This window comes from Homo sapiens, chromosome 2 (genome assembly GCF_000001405.40).
Source record: "Homo sapiens chromosome 2, GRCh38.p14 Primary Assembly".
Lineage (NCBI taxonomy): Eukaryota > Metazoa > Chordata > Mammalia > Primates > Hominidae > Homo > Homo sapiens.
In genome coordinates, this window is record NC_000002.12 from 26526145 (window position 1) to 26553506 (window position 27362).

At 48.6% G+C, this 27362-nt stretch overlaps 1 protein-coding gene across 2 annotated transcripts in view, besides 3 other annotated features; it reads right to left on the bottom strand.

Annotated features, from left to right (window-relative positions):
- Window positions 1-27362, bottom strand: part of OTOF (otoferlin) — a 101554-nt gene that overhangs the window by 68942 nt on the left and 5250 nt on the right. For both annotated transcript variants that reach the window (NM_001287489.2, NM_194248.3), the window contains exons 2-3: window positions 11572-11630; window positions 1688-1776 (exon numbers count right to left, since the gene is read on the bottom strand). In NM_001287489.2, coding sequence (NP_001274418.1) covers window positions 1688-1776; window positions 11572-11630 — 148 coding nt within the window. The remainder of the gene's footprint in view (window positions 1-1687; window positions 1777-11571; window positions 11631-27362) is intronic.
- Window positions 10684-11612: an enhancer, noted in NCBI's record as "H3K4me1 hESC enhancer chr2:26759696-26760624 (GRCh37/hg19 assembly coordinates)". NCBI's record gives its function as "activates a minimal SCP1, AML or CMV promoter by ChIP-STARR-seq in naive H9 embryonic stem cells {active_cell/tissue: H9 hESC(naive)}" and the evidence as "EXISTENCE:reporter gene assay evidence [ECO:0000049][PMID:30033119]".
- Window positions 11613-12541: an enhancer, noted in NCBI's record as "H3K4me1 hESC enhancer chr2:26760625-26761553 (GRCh37/hg19 assembly coordinates)". NCBI's record gives its function as "activates a minimal SCP1, AML or CMV promoter by ChIP-STARR-seq in naive H9 embryonic stem cells {active_cell/tissue: H9 hESC(naive)}" and the evidence as "EXISTENCE:reporter gene assay evidence [ECO:0000049][PMID:30033119]".
- Window positions 16914-17648: an enhancer, noted in NCBI's record as "H3K4me1 hESC enhancer chr2:26765926-26766660 (GRCh37/hg19 assembly coordinates)". NCBI's record gives its function as "activates a minimal SCP1, AML or CMV promoter by ChIP-STARR-seq in naive H9 embryonic stem cells {active_cell/tissue: H9 hESC(naive)}" and the evidence as "EXISTENCE:reporter gene assay evidence [ECO:0000049][PMID:30033119]".

The following is a 27362-nucleotide window of genomic DNA, read 5'->3' on the forward strand; positions in this document are numbered from 1 at the left end:
ATGAGTGGATGGAAGGATGAATGGAAAGGATGAAAGGGTAAGTGGTGGATGAATGGATGGAAAGATGGAAGGATTGGGTTGATGAATGAATGGATGAAAGGAAGGATGGGTGAATGGATGGATGGATGGATGGATGAGTGGATGGATAGGATGAATGAAAGGATGGACGGATGAATGGATAGATGGATAAATGGGTGGATAAATGAATTGATAAATGGATGGAGGGATGGATTGATGAATGGATGGATGAAAGGATGGAAGGATGGATGAAAGAAAGGAAGGGTGGATAAATCAATTGATGGACAGACAAATGGATAGGCAGATGGATGAATAACAGGAATGATAGATGGATGGATGGATGAATGGATCAATGGATGGATGAATGGATGAATATGTCCTCTATGATTTTCCCTTTCAGGCTCTCATCCATTTGTTATAAGGTAACACTTAAAGTCCCTTTCCTCCTGGAAACTATAGGGTGGTGCCTACAGGAATTCTCTGCCACTAGTATCAGAGCAGTGGACTCCTTGTCTCTCCTGCTCAGATCAGGAGTGCTTTAATTCTATTAGTATGATTTAGGATGAGGCCTACTTTTCTTTTGTTTGTAGTCTCCTCCCACTGTTGAGTCATTCTGAGTCCTCAGTGAGCTAACACCTCCATACCTTCTTGGACATGTTACAGTTAAGCCATGACCTCCAGCTTGTATAAGAGCAACCGATTTTTTTTTAAAGAGATGGGATCTCACTATGTTGCCCAGGCTAGCCTCAAATTACTGGGATCAAATGATCCTCCCGCCTTATCTGCCCAAGGACCTAGGACTACAGGTGTGTGCCACACCTGGCTGTGATTTTTTAACCCAAGATATTACTTAGCCACTGTTCCAGCGTGTTCAAATCCTTCTGAATTCTTCTCATGGCCCAGAGAGAAGGATGACAACTACTTTTATTGAACACCTTATAGTGATAACGCTCGTATGGCAGGTGTACTTCACTTGTGGAGTGCAAGCTCCATGAAGGTAGGCACCCCGCCCTCTGCATCACCTAATTCAGTACCTGATACACAATCGACGCTTAGTAAACATTTGTTGAATGAGTGAGTGAATATCTATCTCATTTAATTCACACAGCTGCCCTTTGAGGTAAATACTTGTCCTTTTCACACATGAGCACATTGAAATCAGAGAGGTTATGTAACCTTTCCAGGGTCACACAGTAGATGACTGACCTGAGTGTCTGAGATCAGGCTTGCCTGACTCCTAAACCACCACCCCAAACTGTCAAGCCTGCCCTCAGGGCTACAGAGTGTCTCTTGGAGGAGATCATCAGCCCCTCCACCTTTCGCCTCTCCAGTGGGTAACTGTACCCCAGCGTGGCATTGAGGGAGACTTAAAGCTTTAAGTCTTTAAGACAGGAAGCTTTGATGGGGTTGGAGACAGCAGAGGTGATAGGAGGGTGGAGTGTTCTTGGCTGACAGCAGCTGGGAGAACTGGGGGATTCTGAAGACAAGAAGAGGGATCAAAATGGGGATCAAAGACCAGCCCAAGATTTCTTCGGTCTTTGAAGATCAATCCAGGGCAGGTTGGGAGTGTAGGTCCCCTTTTTAAGCCCCAAACAGAGGGTAGCCCAAGGAGAAGAGCAGGCTCCCAGCCCGTCCAGGCCCAGCCCCTCCTGCCCCATCCCACACTTACTTGTTGCTGAAGACTTTGCTGTAGTTGAAAACCTGAATCTCCAGCATCTCATTTCTGTCGATGCTGCTGGCCACCGGCCACCGAAATGTCTGGGGAGAGAGGGACAACTGCGGCTTCGGTGGCAATAACAGGTAGGAGCCGTGGGGTGTGGGAGGGGAATCTCTTGTGGGGATCTCCAACAGTCAGAGTGGCCCCTCACTTGGGCCCAGTGCTCCCCAGGGACAAAGCATTGACACCTGGAATCTCATTTAGTTCCAACAACCACCTTGTAGAGCCGGCATTGTTGCCCACTCCTCTTTCAAAGATGGTGCTCAGAGATGTTGGAGGACCTGCCCAAGGTCATGTGGTAGGTGAAGAGCCTGGACCTACCAGGACTTTTGACTCCCTACACAGCGCTGCTTCCATGGCCTCCCAGCTCCTGAGGGGGGTTGGGAGAGGGTGGTGCAACCAGGGTGGTGGTCGGGTCCCAGGGAGACAGCAAGGAATGTGGGTGTGAGCCTGGTTTTTGGTGGGTGCTGAATGGAGCTGTGAGCTTCCAGCTCTCTCTCATCAGAATCACCCTGACTGGCACAGGCTCTGCCCCAGACTCCTGTGTTGAGTTCAAACCACTCCTCACTCTGCCAGTGGTAACACTGGGGACAGGTTTGAGCTGATTAGTGTTATTGGGGTCAGGCCCACAGCCTGTCCCCAACTCATTGTTTCTAGATTCACCCTTACCACTTCTTCGTTGCTTCCTCCCTAACTCAATGTTAATGATGAGTAGGAATTTGATTGGGATTTTTCCTGGTGCCCTAGAAGTGGCAACAATGGCTCAAAACAGAGGCTAAAGTGGCCCAGTGCCCCATTCTGTAAAAAGCTGCCAATGGGCAGAGCCAGACATCTTCCTAGGGCTTCCTCAAAGGCCCTGTTACCTCCAACCATCACCCAGCCCACCTTCCTGGGATGGGAAAGAAGACTGGGCAAGGGAAAGGTGGGAAGAATTCTGTCCTAGGCGTAGTGTTTTTGTGGTACTTCTTGGGGAAACAGCTCATGGTGATTAGATACCTGCAAGAGGGGCAGCATGGCATGCAAATCCCCAGTGGCATCTGCAGGGCAGTGGACTGGCAGGAGACCCATAGAGTACAGCAGGGCAAGGAGCCCAGCCTGCCACTGTTGGCTGTGGCAAGTCATCTATTTGCGCTCCATTGGCCAAGTGGGGTAGAGTGATATGAGGACAGTTTTTCCATGGGCTGCCCACCAGGGGAGGATGTGGAGGGCCTCAGCAGGGGTCCCTGTCCCACTCCACATCCTGAGCCACAAGCATGAGGGAAGGAGGATGGCCAGGGGTGAACAGGATGCCAGACTGGAGTAGGAAGCCCTTCTGGACAGGACCAGACAACGCTGAGGTCTGCTCAAGACGCTGTGGAGAGACCGTGTCAGGGAGGATTTTGACAGATCTGGTAGAAGGCAGTGACTTTTTATTTTTTAGTTCCATTTTTATACCCTACCAAATTCAGACTGCTCAATAGTCCAGTAATAAATAATAATAGTAATAATCGCTGCCATTTCTGGGGAACTTTTTCTTATGCAGAGGTCTGAATGCTCTACGTGCATATTCATTCATTTAGTCTTTCCAATGGCCGGAGAGGTGGGTAATGGCTTCTGTGCTCTATAAACAAGGAACTCGGCCTCAGAGCAGATGCATGACTTGGAGCACTCTGTTGCTGGCTGAGCAGGCCCTCGGGAGGAGGCTTCTGTGAGCCCACCCTGCACGTTTGCCATTCCCAAAGCTGAGATTCCTTCTCCCAGCCTGGGGACTTGGAGGGCTTGGGCACACTGGGCCAGCACCGCGGGTCACTGCCCAGTGTGGGCAGGGCCTGTCTCAGGAAAACGGCCTTTGTGACATCTCCCTTCAGGACTGGCAAGGGAGGACCTGGCCTTGGCATGAGAGGGAGGAAGAAGCAGAGGAGCGGGAGAGGGGTCTGCGGGGTGGGGTGGGGAGGGTTCTGAGCAGGGCCTAGGGAGGGCTTCAGAGGCGAGGTGGGCACAGGGCGGAGGGGTGCGCTGAGAGTCCCAGGAAGTGGAGGCAGCCCGGCCCACAGGCCTCATTCAGCGGCTGCGGCTCCAGCTTCTGGATGCCTCTGGCAGCTCAGCAGAGTGTGTGGTTTTCTTAATGAAGCTGCTTTTATGGGGCTGCAGGGAAATAAAGCAGCCCAGGAAGGCCCAGCTCATCAGCCAGGGCGCTGTGTGGGAGTCGGGGGGCCGCAGGAGCCACCGAGATTTGGTTTACTGGGGATGAAGAGGGGAGGGGTGATTGGTCCCCCTGAGGGTCTGTGGGTGGGATTTTGGCATTGGAAGGAGAGAAAGATCAGGAGAAAAAGGACATGACTTTGGAGATGGCCCTGTGAAAGGGAGGTGGGGTGTTGAACGGTGGCGGGAGGCTGAGGCTAAGGGACCTGGGGAGGGAGGCTGCCTGGCTGCGGGGCGAGGGCCAGTTTGTTGAGTGAGAGTCGGGGGACAGGGAGGGCACAGGAGACAGGGGGCTTCCGGGGCCCCTGACTGCAGATGAGAATAATCAGGGGAAGCGTGTGTAGGTGTGTGGCTCAGGTGCCCTTTCAGAAATTCGTCAGCCGGGTCTGGGCAGTCCATGCCTATGTCAGCGGGGAATGTTCTTCTTGGAGGCTTTCCGGGTGAGGGAGAAGACAGGGTCCTCACTGAGTCACAGCAGCTTCTTCGGTCTCTGACTTGCTCCCACCTTACAGTTTCCTTTCTTTCCTCCCCTGTCTCCCTCCCGCATTTTCCACCCACACGAGGCTTTCCCCTCATTTCTTTTCCTTCCCTCCCGCATCATTCGTCTGCTTTCTTCTCCTCACCACATCTGTTTTCTTTCATCAGTTTCTCTCTCTGTCTCTATCTCTCCCTTTGTCTCTGTCTCCCTCTGTCTTTCTCAGGGGTTCTTCATCTTGGCTGGAACTGCAATCCATTCCAGAAGCTTTTAAAAATCCCAAGGCCCAGCCTGGAGACCGATCAAGCCGGCACCTCTAGGTGGGGTCCTGGCATCAGTGTGGGGCCTCGGAGGGTGACGGGCCTCTTGGCTGGAGGGAAGTGACTCAGGGTCTGGGACTGGGGGTTACTCCCATTTGGCCTCCCTGGAAGTAGAGGCATGGGCTGTAAGAAGGAGACTTTTGGGGTTGAATTTTCCTCTCTTTTTATCTCTCCTTTGTTAAAACTTTTCAGTGGCTCCTCTACAGCTCCCTGAAAGAGGTGGGGATTCCCCTTCCTAGCACCCAGAGGCCCCCTTGCTGTGCCCAGACAGCATTTCCAGCCCCATCTCCCATTGCTGACACCTTCCTTTGCTGAGGCAGCCTCTGTGAGCTCTGGGCACCTCACAGAGCTCCAAAGGACATGCCCACCCTTTGCTTCTTTTTTGTTCTTCTGACAACACCGAGGCTTGTATCTCACGCAGACTGGGAGTCTCCGTGGTGTTGCAGAAACTCTGAGTTTGAGTCAGGAGACTTGAGTTCTAGCCCTGGCTCTGCCACTCACTAGCTGTGCCTCAGCTTCCCCATCTGTGAAAAGAGGGGGGTGACAATATCTACCTTAGAGGGCTATTGAGAGAATCAAATGGGATCTCACAGGTGACAGCAGTCGTAAGTGACACAGCACGGCAGAATGTGTTTAGTTTAGATCTTCCCAGTGGGAACTCTGTGCAGGTCTGCAACTGCCTTGTCTCCTTGTCATGCCACCTCCCTCCCCTTCGCCGCCATCACTTTCCTCTTCTGCCTCGGCCTGTGGATTTCACGTGTCTCTTTCACTGCATCTTCTCTTCCCTAATTTCATTTTTCATTGTCTCCTCATTTTTGTGGTTATGTCCTTTCCTCCATTTGGGGTGATATGCTGAGAACACAGCAAGACGAGATGAGGATTTTGAGGGTTTGGGAGCTACACTCCTCTCCTGACTATGGTATTGAACTTGTGAGCTATTAGATTGAAGGAAAGGGGGCTGGGGGCAGTGGCTCATACCTGCAAACACAGCATTTTGGGAGGCCAAAGTGGGCAGATGATTTGAGGTTAGGAGTTTGATACCAGCCTGGCCAACATGGTGAAACACGGTCTCTACTAAAATACAAAAATTAGCCAGGTGTGGTGGTGCATGCCTGTAATCTCAGCTACTTGGGAGGCTGAGGCAGGAGAATCGCTTGAACCTGGGAGGCAGAGGTTGCAGTGAGCCCAGATGGCACCATTGCACTCCAGCCTGGGTGACAGAGTAAGACTCCACCTCAAAAAAAAAAAAAAAAAAAAAAAGACTGAAGGAAAAGGGCTTCTGAAGGAAGAATTTCATCTGGGTAGGACTTAGTACTTCCAGAGCACATTTACCCATAACCAAGCTCACAGCAACATGGCAAAGATGTGCTCCTTTTACAAGTGGGAAAGTGGAGAGGCGAGAGTTGCCCGCGGGCACAAGGCTGGTTGGTGGCAGAGGCAGGATTCAAACTCAAGTCTCAGGATGCTTAGTCTGGAGTTCAGTCCTCAGGGCTTAATCCACTACACTGAATCCTCTCCTGAAGCCTGGTACTGCTGGGGGACTCAAGTAGCAGTTAAGCCAAACACAGTCACTCAAGATGTCACGAGCCAGCAAGCCCCATGCTGGGGGCGAACATTTGCTGAGCACTTGCTGTGTGCCAGGCTCTGTGCATGACGCTGTGCAGAACGCAGGGATGCAGGGTTGTTTCTCAGTCCTGGGGATGGTCCTGGATAGTTCTGGAGACAGACACAGACCTGGAATAGCAGCCTGGGATAGGACTGTTGACAGAAGCAAGGTGGTAGGTAGTACAGATAGGGAGGGAAAGAGGGCCTCTGTTGGAGGGAGTGATCTCAGGAGCCCGGGGAGTGCTGAGTCCTGACCCAGTTTCCTGGTCTAGGCTTAGCCCTGACCTGGCTGGTGCTGGCCGGGGCACAGGGTTCTGCATCCTATCAGCCCCAGTGATCTAGGACTCTGCAAAAAAGGTTTCCCTGATGTACCTTGGAGAATGATCTGGATTATGTCCAGCTTGGCCGCTGAGTGGGCCTGGAACCATCCTAAATCAGCAAGGTAGCATCCTTAAAGGGACAGGGCTATAGGTTTGGGGGAAAATATTGAGATGCACTACAAAGCTTTAGAGCAGGGGTCCCCATATCCCGGGCCACAGACCAGTACCAGTCCATGGCCTGTTAGGAGCAGAGCCACACAGCAAGAGGTGAGCCGCGGGTGAGCGAGCATTCCCGCCTAAGCTCCATCTAATGTCAGATCAGTGACAGCATTAGATTCTCATAGGAGTGTGAACCCTACTGTGAACAACATATGCAAGAGATCTAGGCTGTGCACTCCTTAAGAGAATCTAATGCCTGATGTTCTGAGGAGGAACAGTTTCATCCCAAATAACCCCCAGCCACCACCATCCCAGTCTGTGGAAAAACTGTCTTCCACGAAACCAGCCCCTGGTGCCAAAAAGGTTGGGGACTGCTGCTTTAGAGTACAATGGAAAGAGACGGATTTGCAAGCTTAAAGGCCTGGGCTCAGTATCCCGAGTGTGGCTATTTCACTTTCCCAGGGCACAAAGGCTGGGTCTCTGTGTCTCTGTCTCTCTCTCTCTGTTTCTGTCTTTGTCTCTGTCTCTTTCCCCAGCTTCTTTAGAGTTGTAAGTTAAATGTAGGATCTCAGATCTCAGCTGGTCTTCTTGGGCAATTCTCTTCCCCACTCTAAGACCTGTTTCTTCAACTGCAAGACAAGAGGGTTAAACTAGATGATCTCTAACCTTAGAGATCAAGGTGATCTAAAGTCCCTTTAGGTGATCTCATCTGTGCCTTGCCTGCTTCCTTTCTATCCAGGCCACAGCAAAGGGCTTGATGTACCACTAGCCCTGCTGAGCCCACTCGGTCTGGGCACAGGCCTGCGGTGACAGGTGCCAGTCCTAGTGAACGTCACTGTTTTTTTCATTCTTTCACTCGGCAACATTTTCTCAACTCCATGCTGGGTGCCAGGCCAATGACGAACAAGACAGGTGCGTTTCTGGCCTCCAGGAGGTAACAGCCATGACTTCCTGGTACAAGCAGAAAGGGGCAGATAAGGCCAAACTCCCCTGCCCTGTCATCCCCCAGGCTGGAGACCTCTTCTTCCTCTTGGCTCAGAAGGCCCAGGGTCCCTCCTTGTTTGTAGTGGGTCCATCTGCCCGCTAGACTGAGCCCCTTGAGGGCAGGGCTGAGTCTTGTCTACTTTACAAATGACCATAGGTCCTGGAATCAGATAGACTCGGGTTTAAATCCTGTTGTGGCTCCTTATCACCTAGGATGCTACCAATCCAGCAAGTTCTAGTGAGTCTAATGCTTGTGTCAAGCTCTCAGCCCATCTTGCCACACACTAAGTGCTCAGTAAATAGCAGCAGTTCTTCTTATCATTGGCACAAGTACTATTGTTACTCTGGCCTCTCCCCTGGGGCCTGCTCCACACAGGGCCTGTGTTAGAGCCAAACCAAACTGGCTAAAGGTGGCTACTCCTGTTTCCCCAGGTCACAAAGGCTGGGTCTTTCTCTGTCTCTCCCTAGCTTTTCCAGAGTTGTAGGTTAAATGTAGGGGCTCAGGTTCCAGCCTCTGGGAAAGGAGACACCATGTCCAGGCTCTGTTTCCACCCATTGTTGTAGAGAGCATTGTCTTTCTTCCATGGCATCCTCCTCCCCACTCAGGTTCCTAAGCCCAGCTGCTGCAGCCCCTCTCACCCATGCCTGAGCAGAGGAGGGGCCCCTCCCTTGCTTGGAACCCCTTACCTAGTAGAGCTGTGAGAGACATTTGCTTTCTTGTCTCTCATTTCATCTTTTTTTAGCCTTGTGACAGTCCCGTGGGGCAGATAGAGCAGGGAGCATATCTCTCTTTTACAGAAGGGGAATCCAAAGCCCAAAGAGGTTCCTCAGCAAGGACTGTGGTGTAGGTCTCATGACTCCCAGGCCAGTGTGTCTCACTAAGCTGGCTCCGGCAGGCCCTGGGCAGAGTAAGACGGAGAGAAGAGGCTTTCTGGAAAGTCAAGAAGGTTCAGGGGGATTTGAAAGGGCTCTTTCCCAGGATATTCTGGAACCACTGGCAGGCAGATTCTTTCAGGGGGAAGCCAGGGAAGTTTACAACTTGTCCACTGGGTCTAGGGAGAAAGGTTAAAGCCAGGGTATGGCTCCAGGCTACCTTTGGGACTGGGCTGACCCAGGCCTCCGGGCCGTTCCTGAACAGGGAATGGGAGGGTGGCCTTCCTGCTTTGTGGGATGTGCACTGCTGACCATTGGTGGCCAGGGCTGAGGCCACTTTGCCCAGGGAGAAATGGAGGCAGGGGGTGTGGAGAGACTCCAACACGGGCCTTGCAGGGGTGGTGGGAGTCAGGCCCTATCACTGTATCCAGAGAGGGCTTAGGTCTAATCTATGCATGAATTCAGAACCCTGGCTTGGCCGCTTCCAGCTCTGTCACCTGGGGAAGGGTAGTTACCATCTGAGCCTAATTTCGTCTGTGGATGATTTCGGAGATTGAGTGGAAGGGGCATGGCTCGGGAAGCAGCTCAGTGCTGCTGCTGGGGCTGCCACCATCTTCCCACGGGGCTCCCAGGTGGGAAGTGCGGGATGGCCTGAGCATTGCAAGTCATTCTGCATCCTTGCTCCCCACCCCACTAAATGCCAGTAGGCTCCTCATTGCAACAACCAGAAACTTCCCTGTCTCCCCAGTGGGCGGGCAGCACTTTCCCCGGGCAGGAGCCTCTTCTCCCCATCGCGTGCCCTGCTCTCTGACCCTAGTCATGTGCTTCTTCCATAACTGCTTCTGCCCTGCCCCAGTCTCTCCACACTGACTCTGGCTACCCCATCCCTAAGCTCCCATACAAATCATCATGGGGTGTTGAGCCCAGGTTCCTGCCTCTGGGATATCTCAAGCCCGGCCTGGCATGCACTAGATGCTCGGAATGTGGCCCCTTGTTCAGGGCCAGCAGAGACAGACTCTCCCCCTGAGGCAGGCTGGGCGGAGTTGGGAAGAGGAACGACATGGTGATTAACTTTGAATGTCGTGCATACCTGTGGCTCAGGTGTCCAAGGCGCTGGGCATGGAAAAGGGTGGCAGTGCCCTTGGAAGGGGCATCAGGTTGCCCCCTGGCTGAACGCCTGGGCTGACATATCCCCTGGGAGTCTTGGGAGGAGGGAGTCAGATGCTGTGCCTGGTGGATTAGTGGGCAGAAGCCCAGGGAGGTAGGACTATGGGAAACTGGGCCAGGCTGCTGGCATCTTCTCCCAGCCAGCCCAGTGCCCTGACTGAGGAAATGGGGAGGGGAGGGAGCAGGCCGGGTGTGTAATGGGGCAAGCCTGAAGCATCTATGACAGCTGTCTCAGTGGGCAGCCATGATTCCACTCTCACCATAACCCTTCATTTTGTTCATCATTTCACAGAGACCTTCACACCCATCACCAACCCCATTTGACAAAGATGGTGGCAGGTTTAGAAACTGAGGTCATTGTACAGCCAGGAGGGGGAGAAGGTAAGGACAGAAACTTCCTTAGCTCTAGTGATTCACTTTAAATGAGTGATTCACCTGTCCTGCATAGCAGTGGGGACGTACCAGGGAGGTCGTGGCAACTGCGCCCTGAAGTGGTTGGGGAGGGTGTGGTGCTGGGCCGCGATGGTTGATGGCTGTGCCTAAGCCTGAGTGAGGAGCGAGGTTTTGCTCCCTGTGTCTCCAGCTCTGGGTCGATGGACACAGCCACATCGTGTGGCCTGGTTTCTGGAGGAGGGGGAGACAGCTGGTGCCAAGTGTCAGCCTGGTGGCTGCTCAGCCGAACGCCAGCAGCCAACCTCAAGAGGCACAGTCTGCTATGAGGCCCTTCCCAGCCCCCACAGAGCCAAGCGGGAGAGCCAACCCCAGGAGAGAGGGGGTACACTATTTGAGGGTCACTACATGGCTTCCAGTTTGTGCTAAGATGGTGACGGATGACTGCTGGCCCTCACTCCAAAGTCATCCCTGGAGAACCTACAGCAGCCAGAGGGGAATATAGATTCTGGAAGCAGCAAACACATAGACGAAAGAATGTGAGGAGGCGGAGGAGGCCGCAGGCTGCTCGAGCTGGTGTGTGTGTGTGAGGATAGGGCTCCCAGCCCGGCCAGGTACCGAGGGGAAGGGCAGGGAGAGGGAAGCGTTGTAAGTCCTCTCACTGCTCCTGGGCACCCCTGTGGGATGGTGTCGCCTGCTCCTTTGCTGATAAAATTGTGACAACAGCCCAGCTGGAGTGAGGATTGAGAAAAATCGTTGTCAATAGACCAGCAGCTCACGTCTTTTCTCATGGAACCCCCAGAGCTGTTTCTGAAAATCCAGACTGTCTTCTGTTCCCTATGCTTCCCCTCAAGGTCTGGAGATGGCGCCCTCACTCAGGTGGGGTGCTTGACAATGTTTCCCTGGTGACTGGGGCTCCTACCTCAGTGCCCGGGGCTGCCCTGCTCTTCAACCCCTGGGGACTGACACAGACTGGCCTTTGCGACGTCCCCAACACTCGCCTGCCTCGTTGGGCCCTCAGCTGGTGGCTCACATTCAGGTCTACAGCACCTGTGGGCTCTTTCTCCACAGGGAATAACAGGCCCAGACCCAGCAGGGCCGTCGAGGTGGGCGAGGCTGCTGTTCCCCGTGTCATTTGCACACGGGCCTCACCTGTGCAGAGGTTTCTGGGGGGAACATGGGGGAGGGAGTTCCTGCACACCCTCCTTACCACCTCCTTCAGGAAGCAGCTGAGAGGTGAGGGGCTCAGAGCAGGCCAGTGCCTGGGATTTGGGGCCAGTGTGTGCCCGCAAGAGGCAGCGAAGGGTGGCTGTTCCCCTCTGGGCTCAGGGCTGAGGGAGGGGGGAGTCTTGGGCCTCCTACCTCATCAAAGTCAGCCACATCCTCACAGTTCTCCAGGACCCGAGAGTAGAAGGATTGCCCTGTGGGGAAAGAGGAAATAAATTCTAGGGTCAGAGCTGTCCAGACGATGAGCATGGGGTCAGACCTCCTCATCCTGGGAGTCGTCCTAACAGCATTTGACTTTTCATGCAACATGGGACCTCGTGGCTTGCTCACCTCTCCCAGGGTGAGGCCAGTCCCCATGCGGCTTCTTCTCTGACCCTCTCAGCAGCCTCGTGAGGGAAGCGGGTCAAAGGCCATGAGTTCCATGTTAGGAACGGGAATGCTAAGGCACAGAAGGCCCAGGCTGGTCAGAGTGGCCGTGGAAGCGGACCTCAGGCACTCTTTTCCACCATGTTCTTCCTCCATGGATCTCTCAGCCTCCTCTGCAGCCTCCTCAGCTCTGCTGGTGGCTCCGGGCCCTGCTGCCCTGAGCAGAAGCCTAGTATAGGGGGCGTAGCCCCTGCCTGCCGACAGGGGTCTGTGAAGCCCAGCCTCCTTCTGCAGCCACCCCAGGGGTTCCTGCCCAAACCAGGCCCCCAACAACAAGTCAGCTTCCAGACAGCCATTCCCCGTGGGCCAAGGGCCTTCCCCTTCCACCACTGTCATGGTTGTCCGTCTTCCTGTCAGCCTTAGCAGAGAAGACAGTCTCTGGCAGTTCCCTCCCGGGCTCTATTCCTGCCCCCACTTTCCCCACTGGCATGGGAAGTAGAGAGTGTGTGAGATGGACACACATTGTCCCAGGCTCCCCCATCCATACGCCACCCACTAGGGCATGTTGGGAGCACAGAGGTAAAGCTGCCCTCTTTGCTAGTCCAGCTGGAACTGGCCCAAGATGTGGGGAGAAATAAGTCAGGAGAGAATCGAGGGCAGGTCGAGGGGGCTCCATCGTGTGGGAAACACCAGCTAGTTCAGTTCACTTTGAGAAACAGCCGCTGGAGTCTCTGATGTTCTAGGCCATGTCCCGGGGCCTCGGGATAGAGGATGGACCAATGACAAAGGCACAGGCTCCCACCCACAGGTAGCTGATGGTCTAGAAGGGAGGCCAGGAGCCAACAGGGCACCAGTGCAAGGGAAACACCATTTTTTTTTTTTTTTTGAGATGCAGTCTTGCTCTGTTCCCAGGCTGGATTGCAGTGGCACGATCTCGGCTCACTGCAACCTCCGCCTCCTGGGTTCAAGCGATTCTCCTGCCTCAGCCTCCTGAGTAACTGGGATTACAGGCGCCGCCACCATGCCCAGCTAATTTTTGTATTTTTAGTAGAGACGGGGTTTCACCATGTTGGCCAGGCTCGTCTGGAACTCTTGACCTCAAATGACCCGCCCACCTTGGTCTCCCAAAGTGCTGGGATTACAGGCATGAGTCACCGCGCCAGGCCTCCAGTACAACACCATTCAGTACATACTCCAAGGTACAATTTCGCACAAGAAACAGTAATGGTACAGAGAAGGGAGGATAAATACTGTTTTAGGGATGGGATGGAACCACAAGAGAAGGGGTTGTAATTTCTGTGAGGAGAAACCTAGAGACAGGATGGGTTAAAGAAAAATTTGTTGCTTAGAATTAATTTATTATCCTGTGTCAATTCCATGGTAAGGGAAAAAAGGCAGCATGTATATTAGAACTCCATTAATTAAAAAAAATACCAAAACCCAAACTATATGCATATATTTCTTCTATGAAGAGACAAACATCTCAAACCACTGAAAGTGGTTACCCCCCTGGGCGCAGTGGCTCACGCCTGTAATCCCAGCAATTTGGGAGGCCGAGGCGGGCGGATCACCTGAGGTCGGGAGTTCGAGACCTGCTTGACCAACATGGAGAAACCCCGTCTCTACTAAAAATACAAAAATAGCTGGGTGTGGTGGCACATGCCTGTAATCCCAGCTACTCAAGAGGCCGAGGCAGGAGAATCGCTTGAACCCAGGAGGCGGAGGTTGTGGTGGGCCGAGATTGCGCCATTGCACTCCAGCCTGGGCAACTAGTGAAACTCCATCTCAAAAAAGTTAAATAAATAAAATAAAAAAGAAAGTGGTTATCCCTGGGGAGGGAGAGTGAGAAGATATTGAAAGCAGCATACTTTGATGTGAGCCACTGCACCTGGCTGAAAGACAAACAAAACAAAACAAAACAAAATGAAATGTGAATTTGAATTTTTTTTCAGTGACCATGCTTGATTTTTGCAATTGAAAGACAAACACCCTTTTTGTTTGTCTTGAGACAGAGTCTTGCTCTGTCACCCAGGCTGGAGTGCAGTAGTGTAATCTTGGCTCACTGCAAACTCTGCCTCCGGGGTTCAAATGATTCTCGTGCCTCAGCCTCCCAAGTAGTTGGGATTACAGGCATGCGCCACTGTGCCTAGCTAATTTTTTTACTTTTAGTAGAGATGGGGTTTCGCATGTTGGTCAGGCTGGTCTCGAATTCCTGGCCTCAAGTGATCTCCCACCTCGGCCTCCCAAAGTGCTGGGATTATAGGTGTGAGTCACCGCGCCCAGCCGAAAGACGAATACCTTTAAATCTCCACCAGCATAAACCATTTCATTGAAGGGCTGTCTCCAGGTTGAAGCCATTCCTATTTGGGGGTGAGTTTGGGTTGTCACTGATGAAGCCCATGGCATGGGTGGAGCGGACTGTGCTCCTCTCCCTACAGAAAACCTGGGAGCCCGGGCTAGAGCGGCGTCAGGCCAAGGAGGTACTGGAGGGGTCAGAGCTCCTCTGAACCTTCCCTGTGATGGGTCTGGGGGCTGGGCAAGGAAGGGGGCTCAGCAAAGCAGGCTCGTTCCCTCCGGGAACTGACCTCTCTCCTCTGTCAGTGGTGGCCTCATCTGTTTAGTAAGAGCTCTCCAGGGTCCTAGCAACTTTTATGACCCAGGAGCTAGTCCTAGTTCAATGCAGAGCTCCCCTCTGACGAGGGCCGGGGGTGGCGGGGTCGTTGATGTCAGATCCACTGAAACAGAGAGTGTGGATGCAGTCTGAAAGGGTGTGTGTTCGTGTGTGTGTTTTGGGGCGGGGGCAGGTGGGGAAGGGCTGGCTGCATCTGAGATAAGGAGGAAAAAACCATAAAGCAGAAGCTATCTATACGGCAAAGAGATGTGAAGTAAACATGATGGGAAAGAAAGAATGTTTAGCACCAGCCAGAGACATAAAAAACAAAAAAATCAACAAGAAATATCTCAACAACAAGCCCCCGGGCAATCAAGGGAGGAGAGGGAAAGTGCCTGAGGTTTGAGCTTTTAATTTTCCCCGCAGGTAACACACAATATAAATTGAGAATCAGCTGAGCATGTTTGTGTATGGGGGCTTCCCCTAAAGACCTGCTGCTCTGAATAACCAAAGGCCTTTGCATCCTAGAAGATTTTAATAAGCCTCGGATATAGCTGTCCTCCGGGGTCTCTTGGAGTGAAAAATGCAGCAACCCAGCGGAGGATTGGGAGAAGGTGGGGAGGGGCCCTGCTCCAAGGTGGTGTCAGATTCACATCTGCAGGAAACACCGAGGATCAAACCCTCCCCTGCTTGTGCATTTTTCCATAGCTTTGTTAGAGAGGAAGTAAAATACGTGAAATCAGCCATTGCAGAATTTATACATCAGGGTTCTGTTTCAAAATGTGCTAAAACCTCATTGATTTAGGCCCTGGGGATTTAGAGATGGTGAATATTCTCAAACATGATGAGCTAAATTTACCTGTAGATATTCTTTTTTAAAAAAGGTTTGCTGAAACACATCAATCATACAGAAACAGTGGAAAGGCCAAATTATTAAGAAAACAAAATGTCCTTCAGCATTTTGGAAGAGCCGTTTCAGGAGGGTATGTACAAACAGTGGCTGGCAGTATTCAAGTGGTTCTGTTCTGTTCACTGGAGCAGAGGCAGGGGACCTCCATCATCTGTTCCAAGTGATCAGGGGGATGACTAACCCCATCTCTTGTTTCAAGTTCATTTCCACTTCACATCTACTCCATTCAGCGTCAGTCTTGTTGACATTCCAGCTTCATTTTAAATGGCTTTCAGATAAAACCATTACAAATCCCAATATCCAATCACCTTTCTTGCCACAGGGAAAATGGAGAATAAAGCTTGAAAGAAAATAGCCTCTTCCTTGCATGGAAAGGCTGTTGTGGATCGAGTGAGAAGGAGGTTCGATGGGGGAAATAGAACAGCATCCTCCTTCCTTCTGAGGCAGCTGCTCCTGGGATAGCTGAGCTGTTTGGTTTGAAATAAACTCCTCCCTGAGTCAATAGATGGAGTATGAATAACAGAGTCTGTGCTTAAAGTGTAACAAGTGCCATGGTATCAGATATACCCATTTCTCCTTTCACCATTTAAAAATACCCACACGACAGATCTTCTCCAAATGGAGACGAGCTCAGTGCTTGTTTCAGAAGCAGGATGCCATGCTGGCCTTTCATGGGACATGATTTAAGGGGACAAAATGTTCCATCTGCACAAAATAGCTCCCTCTTCCAGACAGCTTACCCTGCTAGGGCCACACCTCTGAGAAAAGGCAGGTGTGCAGGGACACGGCTGCCAGCCCATGTGTGTTCATTCATTTCCACAGGCAACCAGGGCTTTCTAGCTCCTGGCTTGTGTGCCATTTGGCCTTCACAGAGGGGAGTTGTACTAAGATCATTCGAATCTGAACGATGCCTTTAAGAGCGTATTACAATCCAGAGGGAGATATATCAGACATGGAAAATTCTGCCGATGATACAAGGCAGAATTTTGTCATTGGCATGCAAAAAGTGTAAATAAAGTGAGAACACAGGAAAAGGAGCAATGACTCTCAATGTAGTGGATTAAGGAGGCATTGCAGAGGCACACGCATTGACGCTAGAAGACCAGAAGAAATCTGGATATTCAGAGAGACTGGGAAGCAAGGAGAAGGAGGGAAATCCAGGCAGAGAGAACAGTGTAAGGAAATGTTTGAAAGCGTAGAGCAGAGAGTAGAGCCTCCAAGGAGCTGGACACAGGACAGGGGAGTCCCGATGGTGAAGGGAAAAGCAAGAATGGTCTGCCCTCAGGGAGCAGCCTGTGGAAGCAAGACTGGAGAGGGGCTGGGGTCCCGAAAGGGCAGAGGGTGAGGTGGTGGGCCATCCGAAGGGGAAGGAGAAGGTCCTGGGACTGTTTTCAAGGACGTCGTGATTTTGCCAGGGCCCAGCCCACTAGCCTATCTCCCAGCAGTGCCTGCCATTGCTATTGTCCCTGTGTGAGCTGAGAAATAGAGTAAAACTCTGCTGGTGACTCAGACCTGGGGCTGCTATTTCCTTGTGTTATTTAAAATCAGCAAAGCCTTGTTGTATGCACTGCCTGGGCTGGGCTGTACAAAGCTCAGCAAATAGTCCCATTCCCTCCCACAAAGCTCCCATGTCCTGGCGTCTCCTCTCCCTCTCTTCCTCTACAGCGACTCTCTGAGTGATGGTCCTGCTGTATTTTCTCTCTCCCCACTTCAGATCGATCTGTTCCTTTTGAAGGCCAGATACTCCCATGGAGCACCAGGAAGCAGGGCCCAAGCACCCCTGCGTGCAGGAAAAAGCCAGGCCCACTCAGGTGTGCGGCCCGGCACAACGGCCCATGGTCTGGAGGCCTGGGAGCTGGCCATCCAACCCCTTGGGGTCTCAGACTCACCATCTGTTAGCCGGGGGTCATTATCCTGGACCAGCCTGTGTCCTGGGACCATCACGAGGATGACAAGAAACTGTTGTGGGAAAGTCTAAGTAAAGCATCAAGTCCTTTACAAGCACGAGGGGGCATGGGATAGAGGTTAAGGCTCTTGGGCCAGAGTCCCTGAGTTCAAATCCCAGCTGCCTCTTCCTAGTTTGCGTGCCCTGGATGAAGCTAATTAACTTCTCTTTGCCCTTGTTTCCTCACCCTTAAAATGAAGGAAATAATAATGCTTACAATAGCATTTGGTGCAGTTTATCCCTCAATAAGAAACAGCTATTCTCAGTCTACTAAATAGTCTTGTTTCTCCTTCATTCTATTTTGTTTTGAATTTATTTTTTTGAGACGGAGTCTTGATCTGTCACCCAGGCTGGAGTGCAGTGGCGTAATCTCCGCTCACTGCAACCTCCACCTCCTGGGTTCAAGTGACTCTCCTGCATTAGCCTCCTAAGTAGCTGGAATTACAGGCGTGTGCCACCATGCCTGGCTAACTTTTTTTGTATTTTTAGAGAGACAGGGTTTCACCAGCATGTGGCCAAGCTGTTCTCAAATTCCTGACTTTAAGTGATCCTCCTGCCTTGGCCTCCCAAAATGCTAGGATTATAGGCGTGGGCCACTGCGCCCAGCTTGCTTGTCCTTTAGACCTTTAAGTTATGTGCTAAATATAAAAATGGCTTCTTCTATTATGAATCACATTTGTAGCTTATTTTTAGTAGCATGGAATCAGAAATAATTTTTTTCCTCATCTTATATAATATTTTTCAAGTTTTAGGTATTTTAGATGTGAGTCTCTCTTCTTTTTTTAAAACTAGGTGAAACTTACATTCATGGATCTTAAGTGTAAAATTCAATGAGTTTCAATAAATGCATTTCCCTGTATACCGCCACACAATCAAGACATAGAACATTTCCATTTGTTCCACATGTTCTCTCATGTCCCTTTCCAGTCGATTTCTAGTCCCTTAGTAACCAGTGCTCTGATTTCTAGCACCAAAGATCAGTTTGCCTGTTTTAAACTTCATATAAAAGGTATCCTACAGAATGTACTTTTTGTGTGTCTGGCTTCTTTTGGTCAAGGTAATGTTTTTGTGATTCATCCATGTTGTTGCATATATAAGTAATGTATTGATTTTTATTGTAGAGTAATAGCCCGTTGCATGCCTATACCACAACTTCTTGGTCCATTTCTCTGTTGATGATAAACTTTTGGGTGCTTCTAGGGTTGGGCTATATGAGCAAAGTTGCTGTAAACATTCATGTGAGTCTTTTTCTGAAAATATAATTTTATTTCTCTTGAGGAAATTCCTAAGAACAGAATGGTTATGTCACAGGATAGGTACCCTTAGCTTTATAAGAAATTGCTGGCCGGGCGCAATGGCTCATGCCTGTAATCCCAGCACTTTGGGAGGCTGAGGCAGGCAGATCATGAGGTCAGGAGATGGAGACCATCATGGCTAACACGGTGAAACCCTGTCTCTACTAAAAATACAAAAAAAAAATTAGCCAGGCGTGGTGGTGCGAACCTGTAGTCCCAGCTACTCGGGAGGCTGAAGCAGGAGAATCGCTTGAACCCGGGAGGCAAAGGTTGCATTGAACCAAGATCACACCACTGCACTCCAGCCTGGGTGACAGAACGAGATGCCATCCCAAAAAAAAAAAAAAAGAAAAGAAAAGAAAGAAATCGCCAAATAGTTTTCTAAGGGGATTGCATCATTTCACACTCTTATCAGCAATGTAAAAAAAATTTCAGTTGTTCCATCCTCATCAACATTTGATTACTGTCAGACTTTTACATTTTAGCTATTTTAGAGCATGTGAAATAATATCTCTTTGTAATTTTGATCTTCATTTCTCTAATGACTCAGGATGTTGATCACATTTTCACATGTTTATTGGCCATACGTCTATCTTATTCTATGGAGTGTCTCTTCAAGTCTTTTGCCTACATAAAAAATTTCATAATTTGTCTTATTATTATTGACTTATAGGGATTCTTTATATATTCTGGCTACAAGTCCTTTGTCAGATAAATGTGAATATTTTCTTCCTGTGTGTGACTTGCCTTCTCTTGCCTTCTTAAATGTGATTTTTTTATGAATAGGAGTTTTCAATTTTTTTTACTCTGTGACTAGCCAAAGAGAGTTTCCAATTTTTAAGAAATGCAAGTTTTTAGTGAAATTTATTTCTTATGTTTAGTCTTTTAAAATTTTTCTTTAAGAAACCTTTGCCTAACCCAAGAATACAAAAAAAGATGTTCTATATTTTCTTCTAGAAGCTTATAAGTTTTTAATGTTTAATTCTATAATCCATCTTACATTAATTTTTGTGGATGGTATGAGGTAGGAGTTTGAAGTTCATTTTTTCTCCATATAGATACCTAGTTCTAGATATCCAACACCTTGATTGAAAATCAATTGATTTTATATGTACAGAGTTTATTTCTGGACACTATTCTGCTCCATTGGTCTATATGTCTATTCTTAGACCAATGCCACACTTTCTTAATTCCTTTAACTTTATAGTTAGACTTATAATTAAATATAGTTGACCCTTGAACAACACAGGGATTAGAGGTACCAGCCCCTCATATAGTTGAAAAGCTGCATATAAATTTTGACTCCCCAAAAACTTAGCTACTAATAGACTACTGTTAACCAGAAGCCTTAATGATAACATAAACAGCCAATTAACACATATTTTGTATATGTATTATGTACTGTACTTTTACAATAAAGTAAGCTAGAGAAAAGAAAATGTTAGGAAAAAAGATAAGGAAGAGAAACCATGGCCAGGCGAAGTGGCTCATGCCTGTAATCCCAGCACTTTAGGAGGCCGAGGCTGGTGGATCACTTGAGGTCAGGAGTTCGAGACCAGCCTGACCAACATGGTGAAACCTCGTCTCTACTGAAAATACAAAAATTAGCTGGGAGTGATGGTGCATGCCTGTAATCCCAGCTACTCGGGAGGCTGAGAAAGGAGAATCGCTTGAACCCGGGAGGTGGAGGTTGCAGTGAGCTGAGATTGCTCCATTGCACTCCAGCCTGGGCAACAAGAGTGAAACTCTGTCTCAAAAAGAAAAAAAAAAAAAATCCACATATAAGTGGACCCATGTTGTTCAGGGGTCAGCTGTGGTGTGAACCCTCCAATTCTCTTCTCCATTTTCAAGGCTGCTTTAGCTATTCTAGATCATTTGCATGTCCACATAAATTTTAAAGTAGTTTTCAATTTCTACAAAATAGTTTGTTGTGATTTTTATTAGGATTGCATTCAGTCTATAGATCATTTTGTGGAGAATTGTCATCTTAACAATTATGAATCTTCAGTCCATAAACATAATCTATTTTCTACATGTTTGGTTTTTTTTTTTTTTTATTTCTCTCAGCATTTTGTGTTGTTTTGTTTTTAGGGTGGAAGTCTTTCCTGTCTTTGGTAAAATTTATTTTCTTGTGTATTAATCATATATCCTGAAAACTTGCTAAATTCATTCATTAATTGTAGTAGCTTTTTAATAGATTCCTTAGGATTTTCTACATAACCAATCAGGTTTTCTGTGAATAAAGATAGTTTTACTTCTTCCTTTCCAATCTGTAGGAGTTGTTTTTACCTTGCCACCTTGTACTGGCTAGAATTCTAGCACAGTGTTGAACAGAAGTGGTGAGAGTAGAAAACTTTGCCTGACTCATGATCTTAATGTTCAATATTTCTGAATTAAGTATAATGTTAGCTGGATGATTTTTATCAGATTGAGGAAGCTCCTTTTATTGGTAGTTTGCTGATAGTTATTATCATGAATGGGTGTTGAATTTTGTCAAATGCATTTTCTGCATCTATTGATATAATCATGAATTTTTTCCTTTACTGTGTTAATATGGTAAAATATTTTGATTTTCTACTTTTAAATTAACATTGCATTCCTGGGATAATACTCACTTGTCATGATGTGTTATTCTTTTCATATATTGCTATTCAGTTGGCTAATATTTTGTTAAGGATTTTTACATCTGTGTTCATGAGAGATATTGGGCTGTAATTTTCTTTTTGTGTAAGGTCTTTGTCAGGTTTTGATAATAAAAAATGAATTGAGATGTGCTCTTCCTTCTCTATTTTCTGAAAGAGTTTGTGTAAGATTGTTATTACGTTTTCCTTTCAATGTTTTCTACAGGCCGGGTGTGGTGGCTTACACCTGTAATCCCAGCACTTTGAGAGGCCGATATGGGCAGATCACTTGAGGTCAGGAGTTCAAGACCAGCCTGGCCAACATGGTGAAACCCTGTCTCTACTAAAAATACAAAAATTAGCCGGGCGTGGTGGCACCTGCGTGTAGTCTCAGCTGCTCTACTCGGGAGGCTGAGGCAGGAGAATCACTTGAACTGGGGAGACAGAGGTTGCAGTGAGCTGAGATCGCGCCACTGCACTCCAGCCTGGGTGACAGTGCGAGACTCCATCTCAAAAAAAGAAAAAAAGAATGTTTTCTACAATACAGCAGTGAAATCATCTAGATCTGAAGTTTTCTTTGTGGAAGGAAGTTTATTGTCATCATCATCATTGTTATTACAAATTCAATTTCTTTAATAGATATGGAGGCTCTTTGGATTTTCCATTTCTTTTTCTGTCAGTTTTGGTAAGTTGTTTTTCAAAAGATTTATTCATTTCATCTGAGTTGTAGAATTTATTGAGGTAAGTTATTGGTAATATTCCCATATTTTCCTTTAAATGTAATGATATTCCCTCTTTTATTCCTGATATTGGTAATTTGTGTTTTCTTGCTTTTTATTTTTGATAAGTCTTGCTAGGGTTTATCTATTTTATTAATTTTTTTTGAAGAACCAACTTTTGGCTTTGTTAAATTTCTCTGTTGTCTATTTTCTATTTCCTTCCTTTTATACTGTCCTTGGGTTTAATTTGGTGGGGGGTGTTTGATTTTTATTTATTGAAATATAATTCACATTCCATAACATTCATCCTTCTAAAGTGCACAGTTCAGTCGTTTTTAGTATATTCCCAAGGTTGTACACCCATCACCACTACCTAATTCCAGAATATTTTCATCACCCTGGAAGGAGACTCCATACCCGTGAGCAGTCACTCCCCATTCTCCCTCCCCACAGCCCTTGACAACCACAAATCTCCTCTCTGTATGGATTTGCCTGTTCTGAGCATTTCGTATACATTCATGCACCACATAACACCGTTTTGGTCAACGACCACTTGGATATACAACAGTGGTCCCATAAGATTATAATATTGTATTTACTGTATCTTTTCTATGTTTAGATACACAAATACTTACCATTGTACTATGATTGCCTACAGCATTGAATACAGTTACGTTCTGTACACGTTTGTGGCCTAGGAGCAGTAGGTCATACCATGTAGCCTAGGTGTGTAGTTGGCTATACCATCTAGCTTTGTGTAAGTACACTCTATGATGTTCACACAATGACACAATCGCTTAATGATGCATTTTTCAGAATGTACTCCTATCACTAAGCGATGCCTGACTGTAAATGAGGTTATACAGTATGTGGTCTTTTGTGTCTGGCTTCTTTTATTTAACATAATGTTTTCAAGATTTGGGTTTAATTTGCTTTTCTTTTGGTATCTTTTTAAGGCAGAAACCTAGATTACAATTTTACACTTTTCTTCTTTTCTGCTGTAAGTACTTAAAATGATAAATGTTAATATGTTGTATTTTCATTATAATTCAGTTAAAAATGTTTCATAATTTCTCTTTTACTTCCTTCTTTGACCATAGGTTAAGAAAGGCATTAATTTCCAAATATTTGGAACTTTCAAAGATAATCTTCTTATTATTGATTTTTAGCTGAATTCCACTATGGTCAGAGAACATACTCTGTAAGATTTCAGTCTTTTGAAATGTATTGAGACTTGTCTAATTGCCCATATCTCTTGTAATAACAATTTTTTTCCCCATGAGAAACACATCTTCAATTTTATAATGACAGTTGATGGCATGGTAGAAGAAAGAAATTCACTTCAAAGAGTTGTCCAAGAAAGCAGCTGTTCCTCATGTTTCTTACATAGTATACTCTCTGAAAATCACCAATGACTCACAGAGCCAGACTTGGGATACTGCAGAGTCCCTGGGCCTCCCACTGGAAAAGGTTACCCCTTCCATTTTCCCCATTTCTCAGCTAAATGGAGGCCCCATGGAACTCTAACCCTTTATTATCCACAAATTGTACTAAAATATCATTTCTACCTCCACTCATGTATTTCCCCTTAACCCACCCTGCTAACATCCAGGTTTACACTATGGAAACTTAGGCTTGGGTCAGGGATTCATCTGAGAGGCAGGGGCAGGGCAGGGATGATAAATCCCATCTCTCTGGCTCAGCTCAAACCCTTCTTCCAGGTCCTCACTCAAACTCTGACTTTGCCCTGCAACCGACTGAAAGCGCTGGTTCCCATTTTTCAGACCCTGGCACTGAGGCAGGAAGGGCCTGTGGTATTTGTCTTTGAGCCTTGGACAGTGCCACCCACACAGTCATCAACTGCTGGGTCCTAGATTCCCCTGTTACGGTGACAGAGGAGCTTGTGGTCCCAGTGATCCACAAGTGTGTAGAGTACCCATTCTGTGCCAGGCACTGGGAATACAATGAGGTATAATGGGAGGGTGACTCTTTTACTCTCCGATAGGGTAAAAATATTGTGGAAACTGCAGTCCTGACTTTACCTTAAACTTCGGCTGAAAAAAAAAAAAGCCAGTGGGTGAAAACTCGTCTCCACCTCAGCAGATTAGCCCTTCTGCTTTGAAGTAAAAGAAAATAAAATAGAAACGAGGACTGTTGAGGCAGCGTCTAGCAGGTGGATCAGTTCAGACAGAAAGCGGTCAAGCGGTCTAGGGTAAAAATGATCACATGATAGTCCCTGTCTCCGGAGCCTTTTCTAGAACTGTCACCGAGAGAAATGGATCACTGTCTGGTGCTGCCTGGATGGCTGGCTGCAGGGGGGCCCCTGTTGCTAACTGATCACTGCTCCTGCACCCACAGGCGGTGTTCCTTGCTCCCACTTCTATGCCAGGTCTGTTCTGTGCCAGGCTCCATGCTGCTGCTGGGAAAGCAGCCAAGGGGCCTGGCCCTCAAGGCGCCCACCTGGATGGCAGTGGCTCCAGGTGTTTCCACCCTGATGTCTCCATGTTTGCCAGAATTCAGGGTGTCAGCAACTGGCACCTGTCTAGATGAGAATCAACTAAGGCCCTGTACCCCAAATCCCTGGGTCCGCGGTGGTCCCCAGGACCACAATTGACTCTTGCCCTGCCCTGTCACTCACTCCCCTGATCCCAGCGCCGCTCCTTCCTCTCTCATGGCGCCTGCTGAGGCACTCAGCCCTCCGCCTGCCCCGGGCTTCCTCCCCAGTGTCCCTGCCCGCAGTCCTCACCTCTAGAGCCTTCTCTCCAAAACAAGATCTTAGCATCCCATTCTCCTGCTAAGAGTGTGACACCAAAGACCCTCCGTGTTTGGCTGCGTCCCCCGTGCCCTGCCTTCCGGTCTCCCCTCCACACTCCCCTGATGCATCTCCACACCACCACGTCTGCACTAGTGTTAGCCCCTCTGCCTGGGATGGAGCCTTTCATGGCTTTTTTCCCCCCCTTGAGACAGAGTCTCGCTCTGTCGCCCAGGCTGGAGTGCAGTGGCACAATCTCGGCTCACTGCAGCCTCTGCCTCCTGGGTTCAAGCGATTCTCCTGCCTCAGCCTCCCGAGTAGCTGGGATTATAGGCGTGCACCACCACGCCCGGCTAATTTTTGTGTTTTTAGTAGAGATGTGGTTTCACCATGTTGGCCAGGCTGGTCTCAAACTCCTGCCCTCAAATGATCCCCCCCGCCTTGGCCTCCCAAAGTGCTGGGATTACAGGCGTGAGCCACCATGCCCAGCCCTTTCATGGCCTTTGTTCCTGCCAATGAGCTGCGACCCTTCAAGGGCTTCTTAAATACCGCCCATTCCTCCTGCTCAATAAAAACTCCTGACTCACTTCCGGGCTCTAGGGGCCAACTAGGAGCCTGCTCCTCCCTCCCTTCCCATCTGCCCTTCCTCCTTCCTCAGTCTTCCCCTAACTGACTCTGGCTCACGCACTGGGGTGGCTTCCCCCCATCCTGGGCTAAGTGGGTTTCCTCACCATGAGCTGCCTGGGCACCTGTGCCTCCCTTCCATAAAGCTCCTCATGATGATGGGTGCAGTGGTCATCTTCCCCCTTTGAGGACAGGAACCACATCTGTCTCATTCCCCACCATCCCCCAGTGCGTGGCACATGGCTGCCCTTCAACAGAACGAGTGGATAAATGATTAAATACCTGATTTACAAAACACATTAAAATGAAGCTTTTAATAAATTGGAAAAAAATTATGACATTGATGAGACAATTAGGAATTTGATGACTGCCTGATTAGTTTATAGTACTAAGGAATTGTTATTAATTTCTTTAAAATGACAAAGTATGTGGTATTTATTTGAGCTCTTATCTTTTATAACTGTGTACTGAATATTTACAGATGGAATGGTATGGGGTTTGGGATCTTCTTCAAAATAATTTGGGGTGAGGAAGTAGGATGGGATGCAAATGAAGCAAGATTGGCCATGAATTGATGGTAGCTGAAATTGGATGGTACAACATAGGGCCATGATACTGTTCTCCCCACTCTTGTATGTATTTGAGAGTTTTTTTATATATAAAAAGTTAAAAAAAAAAAAAAAAGGCCAGGCACAGTGGCTTACGCCTATAATCCCAGCACTTTGGGAGGCTGAGCCAGGCAGCTCACATGAGCCCGGGAGTTCAAGACCAGCCTGGGCAATATGGTGAAACCCCATCTCTACTAAAAATACAAAAATTAGCTGAGCATGGTGGTGCGTGCCTGTAGTCCTAGCTACTCGGGAGGCTGAGGTGGGAGCATCGCTTGAACCCAGGAGGTTGAGGTTGCAGTGAACTATGATTGTGCCACTGCACTCCAGCGTGGGCGACAGAAAAAAGAAAAAAATGAGACCCAGGGATGGGAGTGGGTGCGAGAGATGTGGCTTTCACATGATCGGTAAAAGTGGCTAAGATAACCAAGACTTCCCAATTCAGAGAAATGATTTGCAAGTCTGTTCTCAAGCACATTTCCAGCAGCATATTCCTGAGGGCTTTTGCAGGGGAAGGCAGTTTTACAATCATTTCCATTACATGAAAATACACTTCCTATCAAAGCAGAAGTCTGGGGAATTTTCTGTGTGCTCTGTCTGCCCTTCGCTGGTGTGCAATGGCTTGCTCTGGGGGAGGGAGGAGGGGAGAACATTCACTACGTGGGGCATTAGGCAGAGAAGATTTCCCTCAGGTGTGGTGAGGGGGACTGAGTGTGCTGTGAAGAATGGAGGATGCAGGGGGCATATCCGTTAGGACTAAAACAAAAGCGCAGGGCTGTGTCCACAGCCAGCCACCGGCTGCCAAGGTCGTCGTAAGGGTCCCCTCTATTGCTGCCTTCAGCAGGGACAATGCCAACCTCACATTCTCCAAGAGAGGGGGTGCTAGGCTGGACCACAGCCCACAGACAGGCCTAGGCATTGCAGGAGCATTTCAGGGGTGGGTGCACTGGGTATTCTGCCTCCTTTACCAGGGGCGGCAGATAAGTTTCCAAATAGTAGCTATATTTATCATCAAGAGGGAGGGCTCCCTCATTTTACTGGGGAAAATAAATGTAATGTGGAGTCAGAGGTGGAGCCTGCAGCCAACAGTAGGGGGACATCTTGTCCCCAGTGCCTCAGCTGCAACCCTTCCCTGCACAATCACTCAGCAGGCCCACTGCTCCCTCCCTAGCTGGTCTCCCTCTTCTACTTCCTATAGCCTCTGCTCCAGCTACATGGTGTGGCTTCCCCGACATGGAACTTGGCTGCAATTCTCCTCCTCTGGCCTCTGGTCTGGTCGGTCCCTCACCCAAAAAGACTTCACCTTCCTCCATCACCAATTCCTCACTTCCTGCATCTCCATAGGTACAAACAGGGGCAGTTTTTCAAGACCCAGCTTAGGCACTTCCTCCTCCTGCTCCTTTTCCCTCGTCTCTGTAGCTCTAAGTAAGCTGTCATCCTCTGAACATTGTTGCTATTTACCCCCACCGCTGGCC